A 26,785-nucleotide genomic window follows, 5' to 3' on the forward strand; every position below is an offset into this window, starting at 1 on the left:
CATTAATCTTGGTTGTAAAGTATACTTTTCACAGAATCAGAAACTGCCTGAAAATATAAACCTATTCAATTATACTGAGCCTTGTTTTAAATCAATGGCAAATAAAATGCTCTTTATATAAAATTCAATTTTTTTTTTTTTTTGAGATGGAGTCTCGCTCTGTCACCCAGGCTGGAGTGCAGTGGCGCGATCTCGGCTCACTGCAAGCTCCGCCTCCTAGGTTAAAGTGATGCTCCTGCCTCAGCCTCCCGAGTAGCTGGGACTACAGCCGTGTGCCACCACGCCCGGCTAATTTTTTGTATTTTTAGTAGAGACGGGGTTTCACTGTGTTAGCCAGGATGGTCTCGATATCCTGACCTCGTGATCCACCCGCCTCGGTCTCCCAAAGTGCTGGGATTACAGGCATGAGCCACTGTGCCCGGCCTATAAAATTTAATTTTTAAGAAAGCAGAGGTGTGACGTTTTGACTGGTGTTACTTATTTTGCATTCCTTTTTTTATTCTTGTTTTTTTCTTTTGAGATGGATGGAGTCTCGCTCTTGTTACCCAGGCTGGAGTGCAATGGTGCAATCTCAGCTCACTGCAACCTCTGCCTCCAGGGTTCAACCGATTCTTCTGCCTTAGCTGGGATTACAGGTGCCTGCCACCATGCCCAGCTAATTCTTTACAATTTTAGTAGGCACAGGGTTTCACCATATTGGCTAGGCTGTTCTTGAACTCCTGACCTCAGGTGATCCACTCACCTCGGCCTCCCAAAGTGCTGGGATTACAGGCGTGAGCCACTGGCCTATTTTGCATTCCTAAAACATTATTTTCATTTTCTGCTTCATCTGAATCTTCATCCACCCCGCCCCCAACCCCTTTTTTTAAGAGGCAGATTCTTGCTCTGTCACCCAGGCTGGAGTGTAGTGGTGCCATCATAGCTCACTGTAGCCTTGAACTCCTGGGCTCAAGGGATCCTCCTGCCTCAGCCTTCCAGGTAGTTGGGACTGCAGGTGCATGCCACCACACCTGGCCAATTTTTTTTTTTTTTTTGCATTTTTTGTAGAGATGAGGTTTTGCTATGCTGCCCAGGCTGCTATCAAACTCCTGGCCTCAAGCGAGCCTCCCACCCTGGCCTCCCAAAGCTCTGAGATAACAGGTGTGAGCTACCACACTCAGTCAGAATCTTAAATGCAAAGGCAGTTTTAATGGTCTTACCCAAAGAAATAAAAACCTAACATGAATACAAACATTACTCAGTCATAGGAATTCTTATTAAAAATCCTATGTACAAAAGCACTATTCAGTGCCTTAAAAAGCTGGAAATGGTTATCTTAGAGATATAATCTTATCAACTTAGACTAGTAATCCTCCCTGCTCTTAAATATTGGCTAATATATTCAAATTATTTATTTCCGTAGGTTTTTGGAGAACAGGTGGTATTTGGTTACATGAGTAAGTTCTTTAGTTATGATTTGTGAGATATTGGTGCACCCATCACCTGAGCAGTATACAGTGAACCCAATTTGTAGTCTTTTATCCCTCACTCCACCCCCACCCTTTCCCCTGAGTCCCCAGAGTCCATTGTATCATTCTTATGCCTTTGCATTTTCCTAGCTCAGCTCCTACTTATGCCTGAGAATGCTCAATCTTTGGAAATATGGAATCCTTCACAAATTTGCGTGTCATCCTTGCGCAGGGGCCATGCTAATCTCCTCTGTATTGTTCCAATTTTAGTATGTGTGCTGCTGAAGCAAGCATGCTAGTGTAGTATAGTGCAGTGTTGGAGAAGATGATTCAGAATCTCCAGATTTCAGTTGACTTTGAAGAATGCACAAACCCCCAAGGCCAAGGTAATGTGCTGGAAGCTTTCTGTGTATTTGCTAACCATGATCTTGGGGTCTCTGGATAGGTATGAGAGGAATGTGGGGTGAGGTATTTGGCTGACTCATCTATGCCACCACACTCAGACAGCACTCAACTGAGCTAAACCAGAATCTGCATGTCACAACTTGGGTGTCTTAATTGCCAAGGAGTGTGAATGGGGTGGAATGCAATAATGGAGGATGCCCTGAAAAATGGTCCGATTTGATGGTATGCGAGATATGTGCATTTTGCATGATTATTTTCAGCAGAACACTTGCTACTTTAGACATTTATTTTTAGCCTTCTGAAAGCTAGTAATGTTGTTTGCTTGATTTGTTATATTCATTTTTCAGACTATTATTCAGGTTCAGTGAATAATATTAAGAAAATCCTAATAATTATATTATTCTGGGCTTTTAGTTAATAGACCCATAAGATTTCTCTTAGCTCAGCAACTACTCACAAAGGGAATCAACTATATTCTTATAGTACTCTACATCTGAGGTAAGTGCAGGTATTTTTCATTCACATTTGGGAGTTTTGTTTGTTTGTTTGTTTTGTTTTTTTTTGAGATAGAGTCTCGCTCTGTCACCAGACTGGAGTGCAGTGGTGTGATCTCGGCTCACTGCAACCTCTGCCTCCCAGGTTCAAGTGATTCCTCTGCCTCAGCCTCCTGAGTAGCTGGGACTATAGGCGTGCACCACCATGCCTGGCTAATTTTTTGTATTTTAGTAGAGACGGGGTTTCACCATGTTGGCCAGGATGGTCTCGATCTCCTGACCTCATGATCTGCCCCCTTTAGCCTCCCAAAGTGTTGGGATTACAGGCGTGACCCACCACACCTGGCCTGGGAGGTTTTACAACATGTTTAAGTAACTGTACCTAGCGCACCCTAAGGGAATGTTGCTAATAATAGGTCTGATGTTTGGGGAAAAGTGTTTGAGCTCATCAAAATAAAAGCAAATAAAAGAACAAGGAAACAATAATTCTTGTGTAAGTGTTCTGTTAACTTGTCTATGTTGGGCTCAGATGGGAAAAGCAAGCCACTTCTCCTGGCTGAATGCTGGCTGCCAGCTTGCATCTGCCGCTGCTGCTAAGTGTCAGTTATGCAGAGCCCCTGACCCCTTTCCATTTTCAGAACAAGAATAGAACTAATTGTAGCATCAGGATGCAATGCATTCCAAAATATATTTCCTCTGAAGCAGTAATCTCTTCCACATCCTGCAAAGCAACTGAGAAGGACATTTTTTTTTTTTTTTTTTGTCACTGAGAATATTTTTGACATTGGATTTGAAATTCTAAACCTCAAATGAGCTGGAAAAAATAATTCAAAGAATCCAATTTGTATATACTTCAAATATTTTAATAATGAATCCATGAGACCATCTACATTCTTTTGCTGTGGTGAAATTGTGCTGTGGTAACTTGCACTTAAAATAAGAAAACCAGTTTTAGAGCGCATTTCCTCATGATGGTAGATGCCATAATGGTGTTGGATCGGCCCAAATCACAAACTTGGTAAAGTTTGCATCTTTCTCTCTTTCTTTCTTCCTTTCTTCCTTCCTTCCTTCCTCCCTTCCTCCCTCCCTTCCTTCCTTCCCTCCCTCCTTCCTTCCTTCCTCTCTCCTTCTCTTTCTTCCCTCCCTCCCTCCCTGCTTCTTTCCTTCCTTCCTCTCTCTCTCCTTCTCTCTTTTTTCCTTCCTTCCCTCCCTCCCTCCTTCTTTCCTTCCTTCCTTCCTCTCTCTCTCTTCCCTTCCTTCCTTCTTTCCTTCCTTCCTTCCTTCCTTCTTCCCTCCCCTCCCCTCCCCGCACCTCTTTTCTTTCTCTTTCTTTCTGATATAGTCTTGCTCTGTCACCTGGGCTGCAATGCAGTGGTGTTGCGATCACGGCTCACTGCAGCCTTGACCCCTTGGGCTCAAGCAATCCTTCTGCCTCAGCCTCCCAAGTAGTTGAGACTACAGTTGCATGCCACCACGCTTGGGTAATTTGTTTTTGTAGAGATGGTGTCTCACTATGTTGTCCAGACTGGTCTTGAATTCCTGGACTTATGCAATCCTTCCAACTTAGTCTCCCAAAGTTCTGGAATTACAGGTGTGAACCACTGCCCCTGGGGCATCTCTTTTCTTCATTATATTTGTTCTTTAAGTTTCTCTCCTGCTCAGAAACCCTTACCCTCATTCCGATCAACTTCCAGTATTGGACAAAGTTCTTCCTTAACCACATTAAAAAATCTGATCTCGAAATACCTGTATCCCCATGTTTATGGCAGCACTATTCACAGTAGCCAAGATATGGAATCAACCTAAGTGTCCATCACCAGATGAATGGATAAATAAAATGTGGTGTATATACACACAATGGAATACTATTCAGCCATAAAAAAGAACAAAATCCTATAATTCATGGCAACATGGATAAGCCTGGAGGACATTATGAGTGAAATAAGCCAGGCACAGAAAGACAAACACTGCATGTTTTTACTTATATATGGAAGGTTAAAAAGTTGATCTCATAGAAGTAGAGGGTAGAATAGTCATTAATAGAGGCTGGGAAGGGGAGTGGGGAAGAGGGAGAGCGGTTGGTTAACAGTTATAAAATCATCAGGCCAGATGTGGTGGCACATGCCTGTAATCCCAGCACTCTGGGGGGCTGAGGCAGGAGGATCACTGAAGCCCAGGAGTTTGAGATCAGCTTGGGCAAGATGGCAAAACCCTGTCTCTATTAAAAAATAAATAAATAAGTAAATGCTGAGACCAGTTCAGTCGTGGAGATCCTAACCCAGTGGCGCTAGAGGAATTAAAGACACACACACACACAGAAATATAGAGTATGTTGTGGGAAATCAGGGGTCTTACTGCCTTCAGAGCTGAGATCCTTGAACAGGGATTTACCCACATATTTATTGACAGTAAGCCAGTGATAAGCATTATTTCTATAGATTGTAGATTAACCAAAAGTATTCCTTACGGGAAACAAAGGGATGGGCCGAAATAAAGGGATGGGTCTGGCTAGCTATCTGCAGCAGGAACATGTCCTTAAGGCACAGATCCCTCATGCTATTGTTTGTGGTTTAAGAATGCCTTTAAGCGGTTTTCCAGTTTTCCGCCCTGGGTGGGCCAGGTGTTCTTTGCCCTCATTCCGGTAAACCGACAACCTTCCAGCGTGGGCATCATGGCTATTACGAGCATGTCACAGTGCTGCAGAGATTTTGTTTATGGCCAGTTTTGGGGCCAGTTTATGGCCAGATTGGGGGCCTGTTCCCAACGAGTAAGTAAAAATAAAAACAAAACAACTGATAGGAGGAATGAGTTCTAGTGTTCTATCAGCACTGTAGGATGACTACAGTTAAATTAACTTATTGTATATTTTAAAATGGCTAGAAGGGGCTGTGTGCAGTGGCTCACACCTGTAATCTCAACACTTTGGGTGGCTGAGGCAAGTGGATCACCTGAGGTCAGGAGTTCGAGGCCAGCCTGGTCAACATGGTAAAACCCTGTCTCTACTAAAAATACAAAAAATTAGCTGGGTGTGGTGGTGGGTGCTTGTAATCCCAGCTACTTCGGAGGCTAAGGCATGAGAATTACTTGAACCCAGGAGACAGGGATTGCAGTGAGCCAAGATCGCACTACTGCATTCCAGCCTGGGTGACAGAGTGAGACTCCATCTCAAAAAAAGTAAAATAAATAAATAAATAAAATAAAAATAAAACAGCTAGAAGAGAGGATTTTGAATATTTCCAACACAAAAAAATGATAAATGTTTGAGGTGAATATACTAATTACCCTGAATTGATCATTATAAAATTATAAATTGATAATTTATAATCAATCAATTTATATAAATTCAATCAATCAATTGAATTTATAATCAAAAATCACTGTACACCCCACAAATCTGTACAATTATGTGTCAGTTAAAAAAATAAAAAGGAAAAATAGCAATAATTACATGGGCAAATAGAGCTTGATAGGGCTGTAAAAAAATCTGATCTTCAGAGGAATGTAAAACTAATATACACAAAGGCATCATTAACCAATAATAATGAGTGGAAATAGGAAACCTCTAATTTTGATGCCCAGGACTAACTTCTTCTGACAATAGGAAAGTTTTTGTAGTTTCTGCAGGACTTGGAGCCACAAGACCTGAGTCTAAGTCCTGGCTTAGCAGCTCTCTCAGCACTTTATCTTTCTCAGCTTCAATTTATATCTATTACTTGGGGGCTGCCATGATTCTACGAGATGGCATGTGTTGAAGTGTTTTATAAAACATGAAGCCGGCCGGGCACGGTGGCTCACACCTGTAATCCCAGCACTTTGGGAGGCCGAGGTGGATGGATCACAAGGTCAGGAGATCAAGACCATCCTGGCTAACACAGTGAAACCTCGTCTCTGCTAAAAATACAAAAAATTAGCCGGGTGTGGTGGCGGGTACCTGTAGTCCCAGCCATTCGGGAGGCTGAGGCAGGAGAATGGCGTGAACCCGAGAGGCGGAGCTTGCAGGGAGCCGAGATCGTGCCACTGCACTCCAGCCTGGGGGACAGAGTGAGACTCTGTCTCAAAAAAAAAAAAAAAAAAAAGAAAAGAAAGAAAACATGAAGCACCCTCACTCCGCAGTGTTTTTAAAAATTGCTTTAAAATCATGCAAGGAACAGCAACTAGGAAGTCAGAGGCCCAGAGTTTAGTACTGCTTTGCTACTCCCTAACCTCAGAGACCTCAGAAAAATCTTCTAACCATACCAGGCCTGTTTCTTTGTCATAAAAACCTCCAGGTTAAACCAGAATATCTCTAAATTTCCTTTCAACATGAGGCATTTTATAGTGTCATGAATTCAAATTGTTTGCAAAGAAAACACTATGACATCTAGTTCCAAGAACACAGAAGGTGGCATGAGTTTGAACTAGGAGGTCAGTAGAGGGATAAAAGAGATGGTCATAGTGGAGGAACTGGGGTTATCCTCCCAGAAGAGGCTGATGCGAGCTATAGAACAAGAGGTCTGTGTGGCAGGATGCCTAGTAAGAAGGTTGGGATGGGTTCATGGCTTTGGGGTAAAAGGTTGCAGGAATTTGGGAGCTGAATGAACAGGGATTATTAGGCGTTTGCGGAGGTGCAATGTTGTCCTGTGGGTAGCATATAATGCTGCAGGGATTTTGGTGGTCAGCAATGCAGGGGTGAAAGTGGCAGGAGGAGGGAGTGAATGACAATGACAGTGAAGACAAAGACTACCTTCTAACCTTTTCTCTCTCTTGAATCCACTGGGCAGTGAGAGTGATCAAGTTAAAGTGTAAATCCCATGACTTCTCTCCCCTGCTTAAAATCTTTTCATGGCTTTCCTTGTATTGAGATTATGCAAATTCCTTATCATTGGCTTTCAGGTCCCCAAGGGATTTGGCACTTGCCTATCTCTCCAACCACCTCCAACCCTCTGTTTCCATTCCACCTCTTCCTGAATTCCAGCAACACTGAGCAGCTTGAAGTCACCAAGGTATACCTGCAGTAGGGCTGTTTCTCTGTGGTTCTTTATAGGATTCACTGTGATTCTTGGGGAGTTTAGCTTAACTATTTCTTTAGACAAGCTTTCTCTGACCATGCTACATGTAGTACTCTCTTCCCATTGTCTAAGCCCTTTGTTTCTTAAACAGCCACAACCACAGTCTATAATTATTGTACTTTTTTTTTTTTTGAGGCGGAGTCTCGCTCTGTTGCCCAGGCTGGAATGTAGTGGCGGGACGTCAACTCACTGCAACCTCTGCCTCCTGGGTTCAAGCGATTCTCCTGCCTCAGCCTCCTGAGTAGCTGGGATTACAGACATGCACCACCATGCACGGCTAATTTTTGCATTTTTAGTAAAGATGGGGTTTCACCATATTGGTCAGGCTGGTCTTGAACTCCTGACCTCATGATCCACCTGTCTCGGCCTCCCAAAGTGCTGGGATTACAGGCGTGAACCACTGCACCCAGACGATATACTTGATCTTTTGTAGCTTTTGCTTCAGTTAACACATATGTATCATTGCTTTTCCCCCCTTTATCACACTCATCCCCCTTCCATACAGCTCAAATTTGAAACTAATGTGTGTTTTATTATTCACTGTATTTATTGAAGAGTTTTAAATCCTGTTCATCATTTTATTTTATTTTTTCTTTTTCTTTCCTTTTCCTTTTCCTTTTCTTTTCCTTTTTCTTTTCAGACAGAGTCTCACTCTGTCACCCAGGCTGGAGTGCAGTGGCGCAATCTCAACTCACTGCAATCTCTGCCTCCTGGGTTCAAGCAATTCTTCTGCCTCAGCCTCCCACGTAGCTAGGATTACAGGCATGTGCCACCATGCCTGGCTAATTTTTGTATTTTTAGTAGAGACAGGGTTTCACCATGTTGGCCAGGCTAGTCTCGAACTCCTGACCTCATGATCTGCCCGCCTTGGCCTCCCCAAGTGCTGGGATTACAGGCGTGAGCCACTGCGCAGGGCTTTACTTTTCTTTTTGAGATGGAGTTTCGCTCTTATTGCCCATGCTGGAGTGACTGCAGTGGTGTGATCTGGGCTCACTGAAACCTCTGCCTCCCGGGTTCAAGCAATTCTCCTGCCTCAGCCTCCCAAGTAGCTGGGATTACAAGGCCTGCCACCACGCCTGGCTAATTTTTTATATTTTTAGTAGAAATGGGGTTTCACCATGTTGGCCAAGCTGGTCTCAAACTCCTGACCTCCAGTGATCCCCCTGCCTTGGCCTCCCAAAATGCTGGGATTGCAGGTGTGAGCCACCGCGCCCGGCGTGTTCATAATTTTAAAGAGCAGTATTTTCAAAATTTAACAAAACCATGTTGCTCTTTCCTTTAAAAGACCTTTAATTAGTCAAGCCTGTGCATCCTTCCCAGGGAGCTTTTCCTGCCGTTGACATTGGTGGTATTCTTTTCTGCCTATGAGTTAGGCTGACCCTGCCTTTTTCAGGCATCATCCGGTATTTATCTTTGGTATAAAAAGTAACTGTTATTCTTGTCTTTCACTGCCAGCATTGCAGACTGGGCATTTAAATGCTTTGGATTGTGTGTTTGGAGAAGCTAACAGCTGCATGTGCTATTTCCAATACTCTTTAAGATCCACCCAGGACGTGACCATGGGAATGCTTATCATGTTTTTGGAGGGGAGAATCAATGTAAAATTGGTGAGTAATATACAGAGGTGAAAATTAGGTGAGAAATTCTTCAACAGATTGTAGGCTTGCCATCTGATATCTAGAAAAAACTGTATTCCTCTGAGCAGCTCTCAGAATGCTCATCTGCCTGAACTTGGGGGCAGCCACAGATAGGGAGTGCTTTGGAGGCTCAGTAAGTAACATCAGTATGTTTCCAAAACAAACAAGCAAGCAAACAAATCCCACTCTCTCCTGCCTTATGCATATATTGGGGAACAGCACAGTTGCATAGTCTGTAAATTACTAACCAACCAACCAAACACACAAAAAGAAAAGAAAAACCTTGATTTTTCTCTTTAAAAAGAAAACAAAAATTTGGATTAACTAGGGAGCAATGGGCAAAGTCTTCCCTTCATTGAAGCATTGAAATACACAGCTGAATTGTTTCTAGTTGTTTATATGCACCTCAAGCTCAATCAGAAATGATTCATCAACACTGTTTGGATTAGGCTGAGAAATCCTTGTTATATTTTAATAGGGCCAATTTCATGGCTTTTTCTCATGGCCAATTTCATGGCTTTTTCTCAAATGACTTGCAACCCAAAGTCTAACAGAATATAAAATATGAGATATTTCCATATTCTTTTCTGTTTTTTTTTTTTTGAGACAGAGTCTCCAGGTTGGAGTGCAGTGGCGGCATCTCGGCTCACTGCAACCTCTGCCTCCTGGGTTCAAGCGATTCTCATGCCTCAGCCTCTTGAGTAGCTGGGATTATAGGCATGGGCCACCACACCTGGCTAATTTTTGTATTTTTAGTAGACACAAGGTTTCACCATTTTGGCCAGGCTGATTTTGAACTCCTGATCTCACGTGTTCCACCCACCTCAGCCTACCAAAGTGCTGGGATTATAGGCGTGAGCCACTGCTCCCAGCTGGAATATAAAATCTCTATTTCTGTCCTTTTCATTTAATAATATTAAATTATTTTATATTGTAAAATTTTTGTTTGGGAAGGAGTGTTTAAATTAGAATTCTCTTCCTTGGCTATAAATACTTTAAAGCCCATCACTGCTAGACTTTGACCATTGTTTGTCTGTTTTGTTGTGAGGTGTGGGGTGGGCAGGCAGCATGGTGGTATTTACTTAACTACTGGATATGAGAAGATACTTTAGGCTTGGAAGGATGTAGCAGATGCTGTCAGTGTCCTGCCCACTTCCTTTAAGACCTTATCATTTCATTGTGCTTTAGAGTTCCAACTGGTAGTATCTGGAAATGCTGGGGAGTTCACACCAACCCCCAGAAGTCCTCAATCAGGAGCTGATGGGAGTTGGGGTATAATTACTCCAGATCCCCCATCCCTGGATGGAATGATCGTAAGGGCTATGTTTGCCTTCAGCGTTTTCTGCTGAAGTTAAATTCTAGCTTTGGCTTAACAACACATCCTTAATTAGCAATCTTCCCTTTCCTGCTCCCCTACCAGCCATCCCTTACCTCCCTAATGAACTATTTGCAATCATGTCTTTGTCTTAAGTCAAACCATATTAGGATTTGGGGGATATCTAAATCCAATACAAACCTCTTACTTTTAGGTAACATTTTATTTATTTATTTTTAATTTCAATAGTTTTTGAGGAACAGATGGTTTTTGGTTACATGGGTAAGTTTTTTAGTGGTAATTTCTGAGATTTTGGTGCACCCATCATCTGAACAGTGTACACTGTACCCAATGTGTAGTCTTTTATCTCTCACCTCCCTCTGTCTCTTTCTCCCCACCCCTGAGTCCCCAACATTTATTATATCATTTTTATTAGGTGACATTTTATTTATTTATTTATTTTTGAGACAGAATCTTGCTTTGTTGCCCAGGCAGTAGTGCAATGGCACGTTCTCGGCTCACTGCAACCTCTGCCTCCGAGGTTCAAGCGATTCTCCTTCCTCAGCCTCCCAAGTAGCTGGGACTGCAGGCACGCACCACCACGCCGAGCTAATTTTTATATTTTCAGTAGAGGCGGGGTTTTGCCACTTTGGTCAGGCTGCTCTTGAACTCCTGACCTCAGGTGATCCACCTGCCTCTATCTCCCAAAGTGCTGGGATTACAGGCAGGAGCCACCACACTTGGCCTAGGTAACATTTTAATCTATTATCCTAGGTAGATACATCCTTAGAGTAATCTACTTAACAGGTACTTTATATATTTTCACTATCTGCTAGCATATATTGCTAATTGTCTACTAAATAATGACTTTCTTTTTGAAGGGAAACCTTTTGTACATATAAGATGTAACTGAAATGATTAAGATAGAATGAAAGCATTGGAAAAATAAGTACCTAGGTTAAACACAATGGTATTTTAAGAGTTTACCTGTACAGTGGTTCACACCTGTAATCCCAGCACTGTGGAAGGCCGAGGCAGGTGGATTGCTTGAGCCCAGAAGTTTGAGACCAGCCTGGGCAACATGGTGAAACCCCATTCTACAAAAAATACAAAAATTAGCTGGGCATGGTGGTGCGTACCTGTAGTCCCAGCTACTTACGGGGCTGAGGTGGGAGGATCACTTGAGCCTGGGAGTTCGAGGCTGCAGTGAGCTATGATCATGCCACTGCACTCCAGCCTGGGTGACAGAGTGAGACCCTGTCAAAAAAAAAAAGGCCAGGTGTGGTGGCTCATGCCTGTAATCCCAGCACTTTGGGAGGCTGAGGTGGGTGGATCACAGGGTCAGGAGATTGAGACCATCCTGGCTAACATGGTGAAACCCCGTCTCTACTAAAAATACAAAAATTAGCTGGGCATGGTGGCACGCACCTGTAGTCCCAGCTACACGGAAGGCAGGAGAGTTCCTTGAACCCGGGAGGCAGAGCTTGCAGTGAGCCAAGGTCATGCCACTGCACTCCAGCCTGGGCAAAAGAGCGAGACTCCATCTCAAAAAAAAAAAAGAGTTCATAGTCTCAATAGTGACACTTAAAGACAGAGAGGAATATGTACCAAGTGCTAAATATAGCACAAAACTTATACTTTTATTGTTACATTTCATAGCTTAGTCTATATTATAGGATAGCCAGAGACAATTTGTAATTTTAATGATGCTAAGGTCTGAGGTCAAATACCATTTAATTCACATTAATGCAAGAGCTATACATTATGGTCTGCCCCTTGAGTGTCTAGGATACCATTTAAAACAACAACACAAAAAGGTTTTCCAGAACTGGAGATTACACATACAAAAGACACATGTAGTTTGAAAGACATGGGGTAAGCGTGACTCTCTTAGGTATGAGGGTCATTCATTGCTTGGGTTTAGAGCTATCAACCTAAAATAACCAAAAGGGTCAGAGTTCAAAGAGAGTTTATTCAAGTGCAGACTTTGAGATGACCACTCAACCATCTAGGATGCACATATTCCAAAGAATGGAAGCCAGTGTTCTGAAGTGTAGAATCATGGGACCCTTTATACAGACATAGATTAAGGAAGCTTAACAGAATTTCATGATCTTTCTATATAAGGATTAATGCATAGTTACAATGATCTGATGAATTGAGGTTGTCTTTTTCTTTCAAGAAAGGTATATTTAACAATCCATGCTGAAGATTTTGCATCATCTGAGTTGAATTAGGTGAAGGACAATAAAGGAGGCAGTTAATCTGGAACAAAGATCAGTGATTGGAAGAGGAAGAAGTCTTGTCTCTGGTCCTTTCTGGTCATTTACAGAACAAGAACAATGAGGAAGAGACTTGATTTAATTTAAGAAGCAGAAGTTACAACTACATGCTATGTGACTCAGATCACAGTCACATCTCTCTCAAGGTGTTTTCTGGGTTCTGGCAGCTTTTAAATTTTACTTATTTTCACATAGCTATAGTCTGCCCTCCAAAATGTGCTAGCTGTCCTGAAAATGCACATCCTTGGCCACATGGGTGATGGGGTCAGAGGTCACGATGGACCTGCATTCATGGTTCTTTTTTTAAAATTTTATTTATTTATTTATTTATTGAGACGGAGTTTCACTCTGTCGCCCAGGCTGGAGTGCAGTGGCGCGATCTCGGCTACTGCAAGCTCCGCTTCCCGGGTTCACGCCATTCTCCTGCCTCAGCCTCCTGAGTAGCTGGGACTACAGGCGCCCACCACCACGTCTGTCTAATTTTTTTTATTTTTAGTAGAGGTGGGGTTTCACTGTGTTAGTCAGGATGGTCTTGATCTCCTGACCTCATGATCCGTCCGCCTCGGCCTCCCAAAGTGCTGGGATTATAGGCATGAGCCACCGTGCCCAGCCAAATTTGTAGTTCTTAACTGGAAGTGCATTCCACCTTTGGTGGGCCAGTAGTATGTCCTGTTGATGTAGGGAAAGATGCAGAAAAAAATGGTGAGTGGGGAGTATGGGCTGAGACTGGAGACATTCTTGTTCTGCACTTATTGTCATCAGGTGGAGTTTTCTGTGAAATGAAGATGCTAATAACGACCTTTCAGAGTGGTTGTAGAGAGTAAATTGATTCAAGCACAGTGCCTCATAAATAGTAAGCTCTTAAGATATGGTAGCTCTTTTTTCTTCTTTTTTTTTTTTTTTTGAGACAGAGTTTCACTCTGTTGCACAGGCTGGAGTGCAGTGGTGCGATCGTGGCTCCCCGCAACCTCTGCCTCCCCGGTTCAAGTGATTTTCCTGCCTCAGCCTCCCGAGTAGCTGGGCCTATAGGCGCATGCCACCATGCCTGGTTAACTTTGGTATTTTTAGTAGAGATGGGGTTTCACCATGTTGGCGAAGCTGGTCTTGAACTCCGTATCTCAAGTGATCCGCCTGTCTTGGCCTCCCAAAATGCTGAGATTACAGGTGTGAGCCACCATGCCCTACCTGGTAGCTCTTATTAGGGTAATTTATTTTCCAAACCAGTACACTTAGGAAACGAAAAAGGGTACTAAAATAATACATACAATATAATTTACATATGTTTGAATATAATTTCTAAATTATTTATATATTGGATGATAAATTAGTTTTATTATATGCATAGGCCAATAAAGTAGTTCTATTTAAAAACTTTTGAAAATGAAATTCTTTCATTTTTGTTTTAAATTTTTTTTTTTTTTTTGAGATGCAGTTTTGCTTTTGTTGCCCAGGCTGGAGTGCAATGGCTCAATCTCGGCTCACCGCAACCTCCGCCTCCTGGGTTCAAGCGATTCTCCTGCCTCAGCCTCCCGGGTAGCTGGGATTACAAGCATGGGCCACCATGCCCAGCTAATTTTTTTGTATTTTTAGTAGGGACGGGGTTGCTCCTTGTTGGTAAGGCTGGTCTCGAACTCCCCACCTCAGGTGATCTGCCCGCCTCAGCCTCCCAAATTGCTGGGATTACAGGCATGAGCCACTGCACCGGGACGAAAATGAAATTCTAAAAAGTAACAACTATCTATGTATATTAAAGCAAAATTAAAAAAATCTTTAGTCTTATCAGAATGATGAAAATAACGTAAGTGGTATGATTATTTTTGTTACATAGTACATGCTTAATCAGTTTCTTAGTCTTTTTTTTTGGAGACAGAGTTTCGCTCTTGTTGCCTAGGCTGGAGTGCAATGGTGCAATCTTGGCCCACCGCAACTTCTGCCTTCCGGGTTCAAGTGATTCTCCTGCCTCAGTCTCCCGAGTAGCTGGGATTACAGGCATGCGCCACCATGCCTGGCTAATTTTGTATTTTTGGTAGAGATGGGGTTTCTCCATGTTGCTCCAGCTGCTCTCGAACTCCCGACCTCAGGTGATTCGCCCGCCTCGGCCTCCCAAAGTGCTGGGATTACAGGCGTGAACCACCGCACCCGGCCTTTAGTCTTATCTGTCTCAAATATCATGTCATTTTTCTGACACCGGCATTTTTTGGAAGAATGCATTTTTTTCTTTTTTTTTTCCCAAGACAGAGTCTTGCTGTGTTACTCAGTCTGGAGTACAGTGGTGCAATCTTGGCTCACTGCAAACTCCACCTTCCAGATCCAAAGGATTTTCATGCCTCAGCCTCCCGAGTAGCTGGAATTACAGGCATGTGCCACCACACCCAGCTAATTTTTGTATTTTTAGTAGAGACAGGGTTTTGCCATATTGGCCAGACTGGTCTCGAACTCCTGGCCCCAAGTAATTCACCTGCCTTGGCCTCCAAAAGTGCTGGGATTACAGGTGTGAGCCACCACGCCTGGCCAATACTGCTTTTTTTGTAAAATAGACTTATTTTTAACTTCTCATAATACCTGGATCTTTTTTGAGGTTATACTGCATGTGAATAAAATTGAGGTTGACTCTTCTTCTCTGTAAATCATAATTTACTTGAGAAATGTAATCTCTCTAGAAGAGCTAAGTTATCTGGTAAAAATGGAGTGAATTCTGCTCAATGGGAAGTGTTCTTAATTCTAATTTTTTTTGTGTTAAAATGTATAAATAATTGGCTGAAATATACTTCCTGATTACTGTTCTTTTTGCTTCCATTCAGAGTACTTTTCTTTGCTTTTACAAATATTTTTGGAAGACAAATGTCATCACATAAATTATCTCCATTTATGATAATTCTGATGTTTCCCCAAACTGAGATGCCATAAATTCATAGGCCTTCTTAATTTTGTTCCATTCCAGTGGACAACATAAAAGTTTCTCTCCATATGTAGAAATATTCCAAAGAACAATTATAGAATCTCAAAACTAAATCTTGGACAGGATCTGAGGGCAATTCATTTATTTCCTATAACTCTGTTGCTGTAGATCGGATGTTTCAGTGTCTTCCTCTTTGCAAGTTTGGTTTTTAATAGTTGTAATTACCGAAAAACTGAAGTTTGTTTTTTGATGCTCCTTGAATTCTTTGATTAAAATTTCTAACTGATATTGAACAAAATGCACCCTAAATCTAGAGGACTAATTATGAAAAAGTTCAATATCATTGGTCAGACACAGGCTGATTTACTAAATAGTTCCAATGGATGATGGGTAGCAGAGAGGAAATAAAGTTCAGTACTGCCATGCTGAGGTGTTTTGTTTTTTTTGTTTTGCAATCAACATCAACTTATCAACTTTATTAAAAAATTTTGTAGTTTAATAAGTTGGCATCTTCAAAATTTGTAAATTTTTACAAATATGGTTTCATTGCAGTTGATACAATAATGCAACTTCTTTGGAGAAATTATGACTTCATTTACACTGTAACCAACTCCAGCTGTAGTTCTGCATCTTTAAAATTAGATGCCTTAATTTTTTTTTTTTTTTTTGAGATGAAGTCTCGCTCTCGCCCAGGCTGGAGTGCAGTGGCACGATCTCGGGCTCACTGCAAGCTCCGCCTCCCGAGTTCACGCCATTCTCCTGCCTCAGCATCCCGAGTAGCTGGGACTACAGGCGCCTGCCAACACGCCCAACTAATTTTTTGTATTTTTAGTAGAGACGGGGTTTCACCGTGTTAGCCAGGATGGTCTCGATCTCCTGACCTCATGATCCACCCGTCTTGGCTCCCAAAGTGCTGGGATTACAGGCGTGAGCCACCGTGCCTGGCCTAGATGCCTTAATTTAAGAAGATTTTTTTTCCCCCCAAGACAGAGTCTTGCTCTGTTGCCCAGGCTGGAGTGCAATGGCATGATCTCGGCTCACTGCAACTTCTGCCTCCTGGGTTCAAGCAATTCTCCTGCCTCAGCCTCCCGAATAGCCGGGATTACAGGCATGCACCACCACACCCAGCTAATTTTTTTTCAGTACTTTTAATAGAGACGGGGTTTCGCCATGTTTGCCAGGCTGGTCTCGAACTCCTGACCTCATGATCCGCCTGCCTTGGCCTCCCAAAGTGCTGGGATTACAGGCGTGAGCCATTGTGCCTGGACAAGATATTGTTTTTACCATGACATCATGTTCCACCAAAATGTTTATATAGATTATCACTGCAAAAACAAATACTTTTACCTTAAATATTGAAAATTTAAATTTATAGTGAGTCATAATTATGTCAGATATGTTTCATCTTAAACAGACTACAATTCCAAAAGCTTTACATTGATTCCATGAATTAGATAAAAAAATTAAACCATTATTGGAATTAATTTAATTGATCTTTCTAGGTGAAGCCTTAGTAACACTGATATAAAATTAGCAACAGTGAAATTTTTATAAAATTCTTCTATCAATCTTAACACATTATAGCTTTTGCTTCACTTTTCGTGCATGAACACAAAAACATGAAATAAAAATTGGCAAAGTCAGTGTAGGAGAATAATTACTGGATCTAAATGTCATGTGAGCACCTTACACAGCTGTGTGTAATAACTTGTAAACTTTAAGTACAGGGTTCCCAAAATAGCTACTAATTTTATTTTTCTTTTAAAAATAGAAACAATCTTGCTTTGTTGCCCAGGCTGGAGTGCTATGGTACAATCATAGCTCACTGCAGCCTCAAACTCCTGGGCTCAAGAGATCCTCCCATGTCAGCCTCCCAGGTAGCTAGGATTACAGGTGTGTATCACTACACCTGGCTAGCATTTTTTTTTTTTTTTTTTTGCTGTAGAGATAAGGTCTTGCTATGTTGCCCAGGCTGGTCCTGAACTCCTGGCCTCAAGTGATCCTCCCACCTCAGACTCTTAAAATGCTGGGATTGCAGGTGTGACCCACTGCACCAGGCCACTGCTAATTTTTTATGTAGATTATAACACTTCAGGCCCACACCTGTAATCCTAGCACTTTGGGAGGCCAAGGCAGGTGGGTCACTTGAGGTCAGGAGTTCAAGACCAGCCTGGCCAATATGGTGAAACCCCATCTCTACTAAAAATACAAAAATTAGCTGGGCATGGTGGTGTGCGCCTGTAATCCCAACTACTTGGGAGGCTGAGGCAGGAGAATCAGTTGTACCTGGGAGGCGGAGGTTGCAGTGAACCGAGCTGAGATCACGCCACTGCACTCCATCCTGAGCGACAGAGCAAGACTCTGTCTCAAACAACAACAAAAACCCAAGAAAAGAAAAACAAAAAACTTCTTCAGATTTGTGTTTTAGGGTTTTCATTTGCTTCTGGATATCACTTTGTCCTCCATGGGTGTGGGGAGTGGCAAATGATGACATTTTATGCAATTTCACATTCATCAACTTACTTGAGGATAGAAAATTCCTCACTTAATATTTTACGAAGTGTAAACTTTCACTTTTATTTATTTACTTATAAAATAGAGATAGGGTTCTGCTATGTTGCCCAGGCTGGTCTCAAACCCCTTGGGTCAAACAATCTTCCTGCCTTGGCCTCCCAAGTGCTGGCATCACAGGTGTGAGTGATTGCACCTGGCCTAAACTTTCCCTTTTGAGCTTACTGTTGTTGAAAGATTTCTTGCAAAATAAAAAAGCACCACCAAACAATAACATAATACTTTTAGATGCACCTCATAGAAGAAATAACCAAATCATTTTGGTCAGATTGGTTTCTCTGTGTCCTAAGGCAGTACTTGCAGCCTCGTTTCCCTGTACATATTCCTCACACCCCTAACCTATGATTTCTCACATATCTCAGGGACCCCACCAGCTGTGCCTTGGTGGTTCTGTGCATTTTATAGACCTGAGCATGGGCCATGGCAGACCTAGTCGGTGAATCCCAAGGGTTCAGAGCAGCAGCTGTTGGAGAGCTCTCTTGCCACCATAAGTGCTATCCTTGGACAGAGTTGAACTTGGAGGCTCTTGTCTGAGGGTCTTTTTTTTTTTTTTTTTGGTAAGCAAGTGCCTTGCTGTTTTTGAAAGGGAAACGTGTTAGTTCCATTGCATGTGGAAAGGATTGGGGAAAATAGAAATGGGTCCACACTAGCCGCCTTACAGATTTAACCGCATGTGACATCTTGGCTTGTGTGTCATACAGTACTAGACAAGACCATGGTGGAAGCTGAAAACATAAAGGGCTACTAAACCAATCCTAGCTTATTTTAGTGCAAATATTAATGGTGACTCTCCATTAAAGTGAAACAATCCAGGAAAATGTTAAACCAGACAAAATAGCAGGATAATACGCCTAAACCAGGGCTGTCCAGGGCAGAAAAAGACCCTAGTTATAAGGATGGCACATTATCTCGGGAGTTTTTGCATAGGAACACTAGAGGGCGCTTTAGACTATAGTTAAGAATCCTGCTTTGATTTACAGAAGGAAACTTACTGTATCAGATTGATGTTATAAATTTCAGCAGTGGTTGGTTTATACATTGGTATTCCTAGAACATGGAAAAATGCAATACAAATGTTTTCGTGTTCCCCCTTCCCATGCTGGAGTGGTTACGATAATACTGTTTGTGTTTTACTTCAGATTAAAATCTTCAGAAGTGCCCTTTAGTTGTCAAAAGTGTCAAACACTGGGGATAAAAAGGTCACACACTGTTAGTGAGCAATGAAAATTTAGTATGATAAACTGATTCAGAAAACAACTTGCTTTGAATGTTCTTGATGTGCTAGGTATGTTTTCCTAAACCTTTTATGCAGGACACATTTAATTTTTTATTACAATTCTGTGAGATAGGCACGACTGTTATTTACTTTGTAGATGAGGAAGCCGAGGCACTCGGTGTTGAAAAGACTGCCCAGGGTCACATGTCTTGTGCATAGATAATGTGCTGTTAACCGTTGTACTGTGCAACTGTGCAACACAGTTGCATGGATAATAATTAGTGAATAATACCTCTATGAATGAATGAATAAATATTATGTTACATAGATACTAAGCATATGGGAAAGGAGTAGGGAAAATTGCACTTCATATTTTTTTCCTAGTGGCTGGTCCAATTATTTAATGAATCCCATTCCAGCTCTCAAGAGTCCAGTGGAGTCCACTCAGGGTTGGAAATGGATTTGTCTATGTTACATTATGGCTTACCTGAAAATAGTGAATGGGAGTTCACGGTCACTCAGTCATCCAACTCTTGAGAATCTGGCCTGGGGATGGAATAGAGGAGCATGAGGAACCAAGAGTGGGAGGAATGGGGTCCACTTTTGGAGAAAACAAGAAAAATGCAAGGAGGAAAAATTGCTTCAGCTCCCTGGCAGACTCGTTCTCTAAGACCGACTCAGGAGACGGTGGAGGCTCTCTCTGTGTCCCTCCAGGGGCTGCTCCAGGAACCAGGCTCCTTTGGGGTGACAAATACGTCCACCCCTAGTAGAACCAGAGAATATGAATAGATGCTGAAGTCCTAGGACTAAAACTGGTTTCAGTGAGGAATGGGGGAGGTCCTACTACAGGTTGGGGAGGAATGGATGAGATTGTCCCCCTATTTAAACATTTCTTTTGTTGTATTTTTTTATTATAGTAAAATATACATAATATAAAATTGACCATTTCACCAGTTTCACGTGTGCAATTCAGTGGCAATAAGTAATTCACAATGTGAATGACTTTTTTTTTTTTTTTTAAGACAAGATCTCACTCTGTTTCCTAGGCTGGAGTGCAGTGGCACTATCTTGGCTCACTGCAGCCTCCTCCTAGGCTCAAGTGATCCTGTCACTGCAGCCTCCTGAGTAGCTAGGATCATAGGTGTGTGCCACCATCCCTGGCTAATTTTTGTATTTTTTGTAGAGACAGAGTCCCACTATGTTGCCCAGGCTGGTCTTGAACTCCTGGGCTCAAACAGCTCTCCTGCCTCAGCCTCCCAGAGGTGCTGGGATTACAGGCACGAGCCTCCATGCCCAGCCTGTGAATTACTTTTTCATAATCACAAATAGCAACTCTCCATTTCCTCCTCTCCCCAACCTCTGGAAATCACCGTTCTACTTTCTGTCTCTAATGAATTTGACTACCCTAGGTACCTTGTTAAGTGGAATCATACAGTATTTGTCCTTTTGTGACTGGCTTATTTCATGTAGCCTAATGTCCTCCAGGTTCATCCATGTTGAAGCATGTGTCAGAACTTAATTTTTTGGTTAATGTTAGAAGACTGGAGAGGAGATGGAAGGACATGTTCGGGCTTGCACTCCTTGGGTGGCAGTGGGAGAAAGACAGTAGGTGTGGGATGCCTTTCTCCTGCCCTTCAGGAAATATCATGCTTCCTTCTAAGGCCATCAAGTGGTGTGATTGATCAGGCAACAGAAAACCAGCCTCCCATTCCCAAAACCTATCCCCCATTCCTTCTCCATACTGCCTAAAATACACAGACTTGGAGACTGGTTTGATTTAACAATGAGAGTGCATGGGGAATTGAGGTGGGGAGAAGATGCTGTCAATTATTTACTTTATTAAGTATTACTGTAATGTGAATTAGAATATCAGATCATTTTCCACCTCTGTCTACCCCAGTTGAACTAATGAAGCAGGAGTTATAGAGTTGGAGTGGAGAGTAGAGAAGGGATGCCATTTTGGGCACGTATATGACAGGCTCATACCACACAATGTGAGCCTCAGGAATCCGGGGAGAATGGGAGAGAGAAGTTTTTTTTTTTTTTTTTTTTTTGAGACGGAGTCTCACTCTTTCACCCAGGCCTGACTGCAGTGGCGCTATCTCGGCTCACTGCAAGCTCCGCCTCCTGGGTTCACGCCATTCTCCTGCCTCAGTCTCCCGAGTAGCTGGGACTACAGGCACCCACCACCGCACCTGGCTAATTTTTTGTATTCTTAGTAGAGACGGGGTTTCACCGTGTTAGCCAGGATGGTCTCGATCTCCTGACCTCATGATCCGCCCGCCTTGGCCTCCCAAAGTGCTGGGATTACAGGCGTGAGCCACCGCGCCAGGCCAAAGCGGGTGTTTTAAGAGCCCCCAGCTCTGGTTCTAGTACCAGACCAGCTAACAATGCTGCCCCGATGCGAAGTGAAGGGGAGCTGGGCATGGGTGTTCACTGTGTGCCTTTCACAGGATACGTCTACTTGGAGGGTGGCCTAAAGCCTAGTTCTCCAACCTGTAACCAGGAGGGCTCTCTCACAGGAACCTTGTTTATACTGGCAGATACCCACGTGGCTCTTGTCTGATCGGGTCCAGTTTATGCCTGTCTGACTGTCACTCTGCTGCTGGGAGCCTGACTTTGTGCTCTCCTTGGTGCCTTGGAGAAAATCAGGCCTGGGGCAGCCCCTAGTTCTTCAGATGGAAGGTGCAAATTCAGTACAGCACCCTCATAGGAAACAAGTCCAAAGATTTTCACTTAAACAGTTCCTGGGCAGGGAGAGCACCATGAGTCTTTGGTCACTAGGTCATGTGAGGCAGGAATGAGGGATCAGGTGGAGAGAGAGAGAGAGAGAGAGAGAGAGAGAGAGAGAGAGGGAGGGAGGGAGGGAGGGAGGGAGGGAGGGAGGGAAGAGAGAGAGAGAGAGAGAGAGAGAGAGAGGAGAGAGAGAGAGAGCGCGAGCAGCTAGCAGTATATTTTGCATAATACAGTGTGGGCCATTTTCAATTTGAGGGTAAATGCATGAATGGTCCCTTTAAAGGAAGCAATGGGAGAGTGGGGAGCCCAGGGGGCTAGCGGTAGAAATGCCTCTAAGTTCTTATCTCTGGCCACCAGCTCCAACCATTTGGGTGTGATGTAGAAAAGAAAAAAAGGAAGAAGGACAGAGGAGCCAGCTCTGCTCTTGCTGGTCTTAAGCAGGACCAGATGGGACACGCCCCCTTACGCACCCAGCTGCTGTTCTCGAAGGCACTTAAGGGCTCTAGCTCACCTGGAGTTTTGAAGGGGATGCGGAAGAGCTTGATGTTGCAGCCTTCCTCTCTCCTTGGCAGAGTCTCTGGTGATAGAGACATGGAAGAAGTTTCCAAGGCTGGCCCTGGGTCAAGCAATGCAAAACAGAATTTATTTGTGGAGAAAGTTTATGTTCCATTCAGCTGTAAGTTACAATGGCCATGACTCTGAGAGGCTGTCTCATAGGTTTATATAATTTGACACTCATAGAAGGAGAGGCCTCCTTTTACCTGAATGTTGTTCATTCCTAGCTTTTTATCCTTGGATTGGTTGGTGAAAAAGCAGCCAGCCTTGACTGAATTATGTGTGGAGTTGGGAGAGAGGAAGGAGGTTTCTAGGTCTGTGTTGGTGACCTAATTCTGTATTATGTTTTCAGCTTTGCTGACCTAATTCTGCATTATGTTTTCATTGAGTGAGCTTTTTATTTTTATATCCCTTTCTGGTAACGGAACTACCTTTAAGACTTTCAGTTTTTCCATGTCCCAACTTGCCACATTTTACGTGCACTTGAAAATTCACTCCTTAAGCTATTTTTCATTCTTTCAACCCAGTAGGAATAATATTGCCTGTTTATTATTTGAATAGCAGCATTACTGCTGGTATTATAAAGTCGCTGGTCTTGAGCATAATTTGTATGTGTAATAAGTTAATATTTGTTGTCAAGGCTTTAAAGGGGCTGTGTCTTTGGTGTTGGATTTTAATAGTTAATGAACCAATGGAATCTTTTTAGTTTTATTGCCTTCCTTGGGTGATTAGATATGCATCATCAGACCTGGTTTGCTTTCACCAACGCTGAAAACAGGTTCCTTGTTAAACACGTCAGTTACTTGTTTCTGGAAGTTACATTTACCACATACTGTGATGACTGGCATTGTTTTTTGGGTTTCCGTTTCAATGAAAAAAATTACTTGAAAAATGTTCTCTTATATTTTGAAACTGTGATACTCATGTTAGCTTGTGATTAGCACTAGCATTTGAGGAACATTCTAAATTCAATCTCTCAGGCATTTTGGTTTCTTTGTTTCTAAAACTTGTTCAATTATGCCTGATTTCCACTGGTAAGACATAATAACTCTTTTGTGCAAATTGGATGTTTGTATCACTTCCCTGCTTTTTAGTAAACTTTGAAATTCTTTTCAATTCCTGAAACTAAGTGGGAATAGTAACTAGATTAACCATGGCTTTTTTGTTGTTGTTGTTGTTGGAGAGACTGTAGCCTTGACCACCCAGCCTCAAGTGATCCCCCTGCCTCAGCCTCCTGAGTAGCTGAGACTACAGGTGCAAAGCACCAGCCCACCTAATATATATATATATTTTTAATAGAGATGAGGTCCTACTGTGTTGCCCAGGCTGGTCTTGAACTCCTGGCCTCAAGCGATCCTCCCACCTCTGCCTCCCAAAGTGCTGGGATTATGGGTGTGAACCACCGTGCTCAGCTAGCTTTTAAAAATAATGAGCATGAGGCAGGTGGATCACCTGAGGTCAGGAATTCAAGATCAGCCTGGCCAACATGGTGAAACCCCGTCTCTACTAAAAATACAAAAAGTTATTTGGGAGGCTGAGACAGGAGAATTGCTTGAACCTGGGAGGCAGAGGTTGCAGTGAGCCGAGATTGTGCCATTGCACTCCAGCTTGGAAGACAGAGTGAGACTTCATCTGAAAAAAATAAAAATAAAAATAATGAACAGGACATCATTGCTTGAAAATTATTTCTAAAAATCAGGACATTCCAAAAATAATGGTTCCTTTGAAAGTATTAAGCCCTTCTTGTTGCAGGCCTTGTGGGTGTGATTGGTTTGTGTGTGAGAAAACCATGCTAAATGTAAATAAGTACATTTAGTAACTCTTTAAGGAACAATTAGTTCCTTTTCCCAGGATAAATTTATTTTACAAGAAGTGATAAAGTGAATATTTTGTAAGAAGTATAATTTTAAAATTATTTAATGTGATTTTTTGGCACATCTAATATGCAAATATAGTATTTATATTTCCCTTTCCCGTTACTAAAGGGAAAAATAACTCTAGTGAAGAAAGCGGAAGAAAGGTCTTTTTGGTCTCTGCCCTTCACTCTGACTGTATTTCTTTGCTGTAGCTGTATTAACTGAGTAGTTAGCTCTAATTACATAGTTCATCTTTGCAGCAGCCTCAACTGATTCAGTTTAAAATCAGATTAAAACAAAACGTCCTTCTTCTTGTGTGTGCAACCCCATAATTTAGACTGTTCTGAGCTTTTAAAAGAATGCTTAGCCAGTTTTTTTCTCCAACCGTAATTTGACATAATTTCCTTAAAAAGCAAGGAAATTATGCCACATTTAAAGATCCTAGATTTAGTTGTCTAGGGGCTGTTTCTGATGATCAGGATAAATTAAGTGGACCACCATGCAATGTTTTCTTGTATGAGTAGTGGCGAGAGCCAGGGGTGGGAGATGAGGGGTTAGTTAGTCTTAAACAGCTCAGCAGGAAGAGTTGGCAGAGTTGGGATTCTGCATCTTTGACCTTTTAGCATTTCAGTGGGTCTTTGTTTTCATATGGACTTTTCCCTCTCCTCCATTTTCTTCCCCTTTTTTATATAAACTTTAAAAAATTGGTAATATTTAGATGCCCTCTGAGCTTTGGAAAGGCATTTTTGTTGTTGTTGTTGTTTCAGTCCATTGGGTACATTTAGTTCTGCTGTATCTACATCAGAAAAACCCTAAGTGTAATAAAGCACGTGAAGTATTACATTAGCTCAAGTTCCTTCTTGAGTCACTTCAGCTGTGGAGTTTCTCTTCCTTTTGCTACTTAGAAAATTGGGGCCTTTGGCTGGAGAATCACTTGAACCCAGGAGGCGGAGGTTGCAGTGAGCTGAGATCGTGCCATTGCACTCCAGCCTGGGCGACAAGAGTGAAACTCTGTCTCAAAAAAAAGAAAAGTAGGCTTTGGAATCAAAGAGTCCCCAAGCCACAGAAAGCTCCACCATAGCTCCAAGTCCTGCAAACCAAACAACTTTCAACTTCCCCATGTAAGTCCGGCATTTGGTTTATGATTTGGCAAATGCTGAAAGGAGGAGCTTTCACGCCAGCAATTGTAAGAAGGAAACTTAGCACTAGCTCCACAGCATAGCAGAGAGAGAACTATGTCAACTTGAAGATTTATATTAAATAGAGAAACAAGGGATTGGTTTAGATATATAGATGACTTATAAAGAGGAAGTTTGGGGTGGTGATTAAGGCCAGATCATTGGCTTTAGATAAATCTGATTCAAAATCTGGATGAGCATCATTAACAAGTCAGAAAAACAATAGATGTTAGTGTGGATGTGGTGAAAAGGGAACACTTATACGCTGCTGGTGGGAATGTAAATTAGTATAATCTCTATGGAAAACAGTATGCAGATTTTTTTTTTTTTTTTTTTTTTGAGACGGAGTCTTGCTCTGTCACCCAGGCTGTAGTGCAGTGGCCTGATCTCGGCTCACTGCAAGCTCCACCTCCTGGGTTCATGCCATTCTCCTGCCTCAGCCTCCCAAGTAGCTGGGACTACAGGTGCCCACCACCACGCTCGGCTAATTTTTTGTATTTTTAGTAGAGATGGGGTTTCACCGTGTTAGCCAGGATGGTCTCGATCTCCTGACCTCGTCATCCACCTGCCTCGGCCTCCCAAAGTGCTGGGATTACAGGCGTGAGCCACCGTGCCTGGCCTCAGATTTTTTAAAGAACTAAAAGTAGATGTATCATCTGATCCAGCAATCCCACTGCTGGGTATCTACCTAAGGAAAAATAAGTCATTATATGAAAAAGACACATGTATGCATGTATTTACAGCAGCATGATTCACAATTGCAAAGACGTGGAACCAACCTAAGTGCCCTTTGAGCAATGAGTGGATAAAGAAAATGAGATATACACACACACACACACACACACACACACACACACACACACACACCATGGGATACTACTCAGCCTTTAAAAAGAATGAAATAATGTCTTTTGCAGTGACTTGAATGGAGCTGGAGGCCGTTATTCTAATTGAAGTAACTCAGGAATGGAAAACCAAATACTGTATGTTCTCGTTTATATGTGGGAAGTAAGGCATGTTCACACAAAGGCATACAGAGTGGAGACCCAGAACGGGGAGAATGGGTGAGGGATAAAAAACTAGATAGTGGGTACAATGTACACTACTCGGGTGACAGGTACACTAAAATCTCAGACTTCACCACT

General features: G+C 42.4%; 1 pseudogene, besides 2 other annotated features; it reads right to left on the bottom strand.

The window, feature by feature from the left end:
* On the bottom strand, positions 1,638-1,741 carry RNU6-263P (RNA, U6 small nuclear 263, pseudogene; annotated as a pseudogene).
* Positions 8,128-8,301: a silencer, noted in NCBI's record as "fragment chr6:18313696-18313869 (GRCh37/hg19 assembly coordinates)". NCBI's record gives its function as "represses an EF-1alpha promoter that drives an FKBP-Casp9 reporter gene in an ReSE screen in HepG2 liver carcinoma cells {active_cell/tissue: HepG2}" and the evidence as "EXISTENCE:reporter gene assay evidence [ECO:0000049][PMID:32094911]".
* Positions 25,592-25,641: a silencer, noted in NCBI's record as "silent region_16975". NCBI's record gives its function as "represses an Ori minimal core promoter by ATAC-STARR-seq in GM12878 lymphoblastoid cells {active_cell/tissue: GM12878}" and the evidence as "EXISTENCE:reporter gene assay evidence [ECO:0000049][PMID:35858748]".

This window comes from Homo sapiens, chromosome 6, assembly GCF_000001405.40.
Source record: "Homo sapiens chromosome 6, GRCh38.p14 Primary Assembly".
Lineage (NCBI taxonomy): Eukaryota > Metazoa > Chordata > Mammalia > Primates > Hominidae > Homo > Homo sapiens.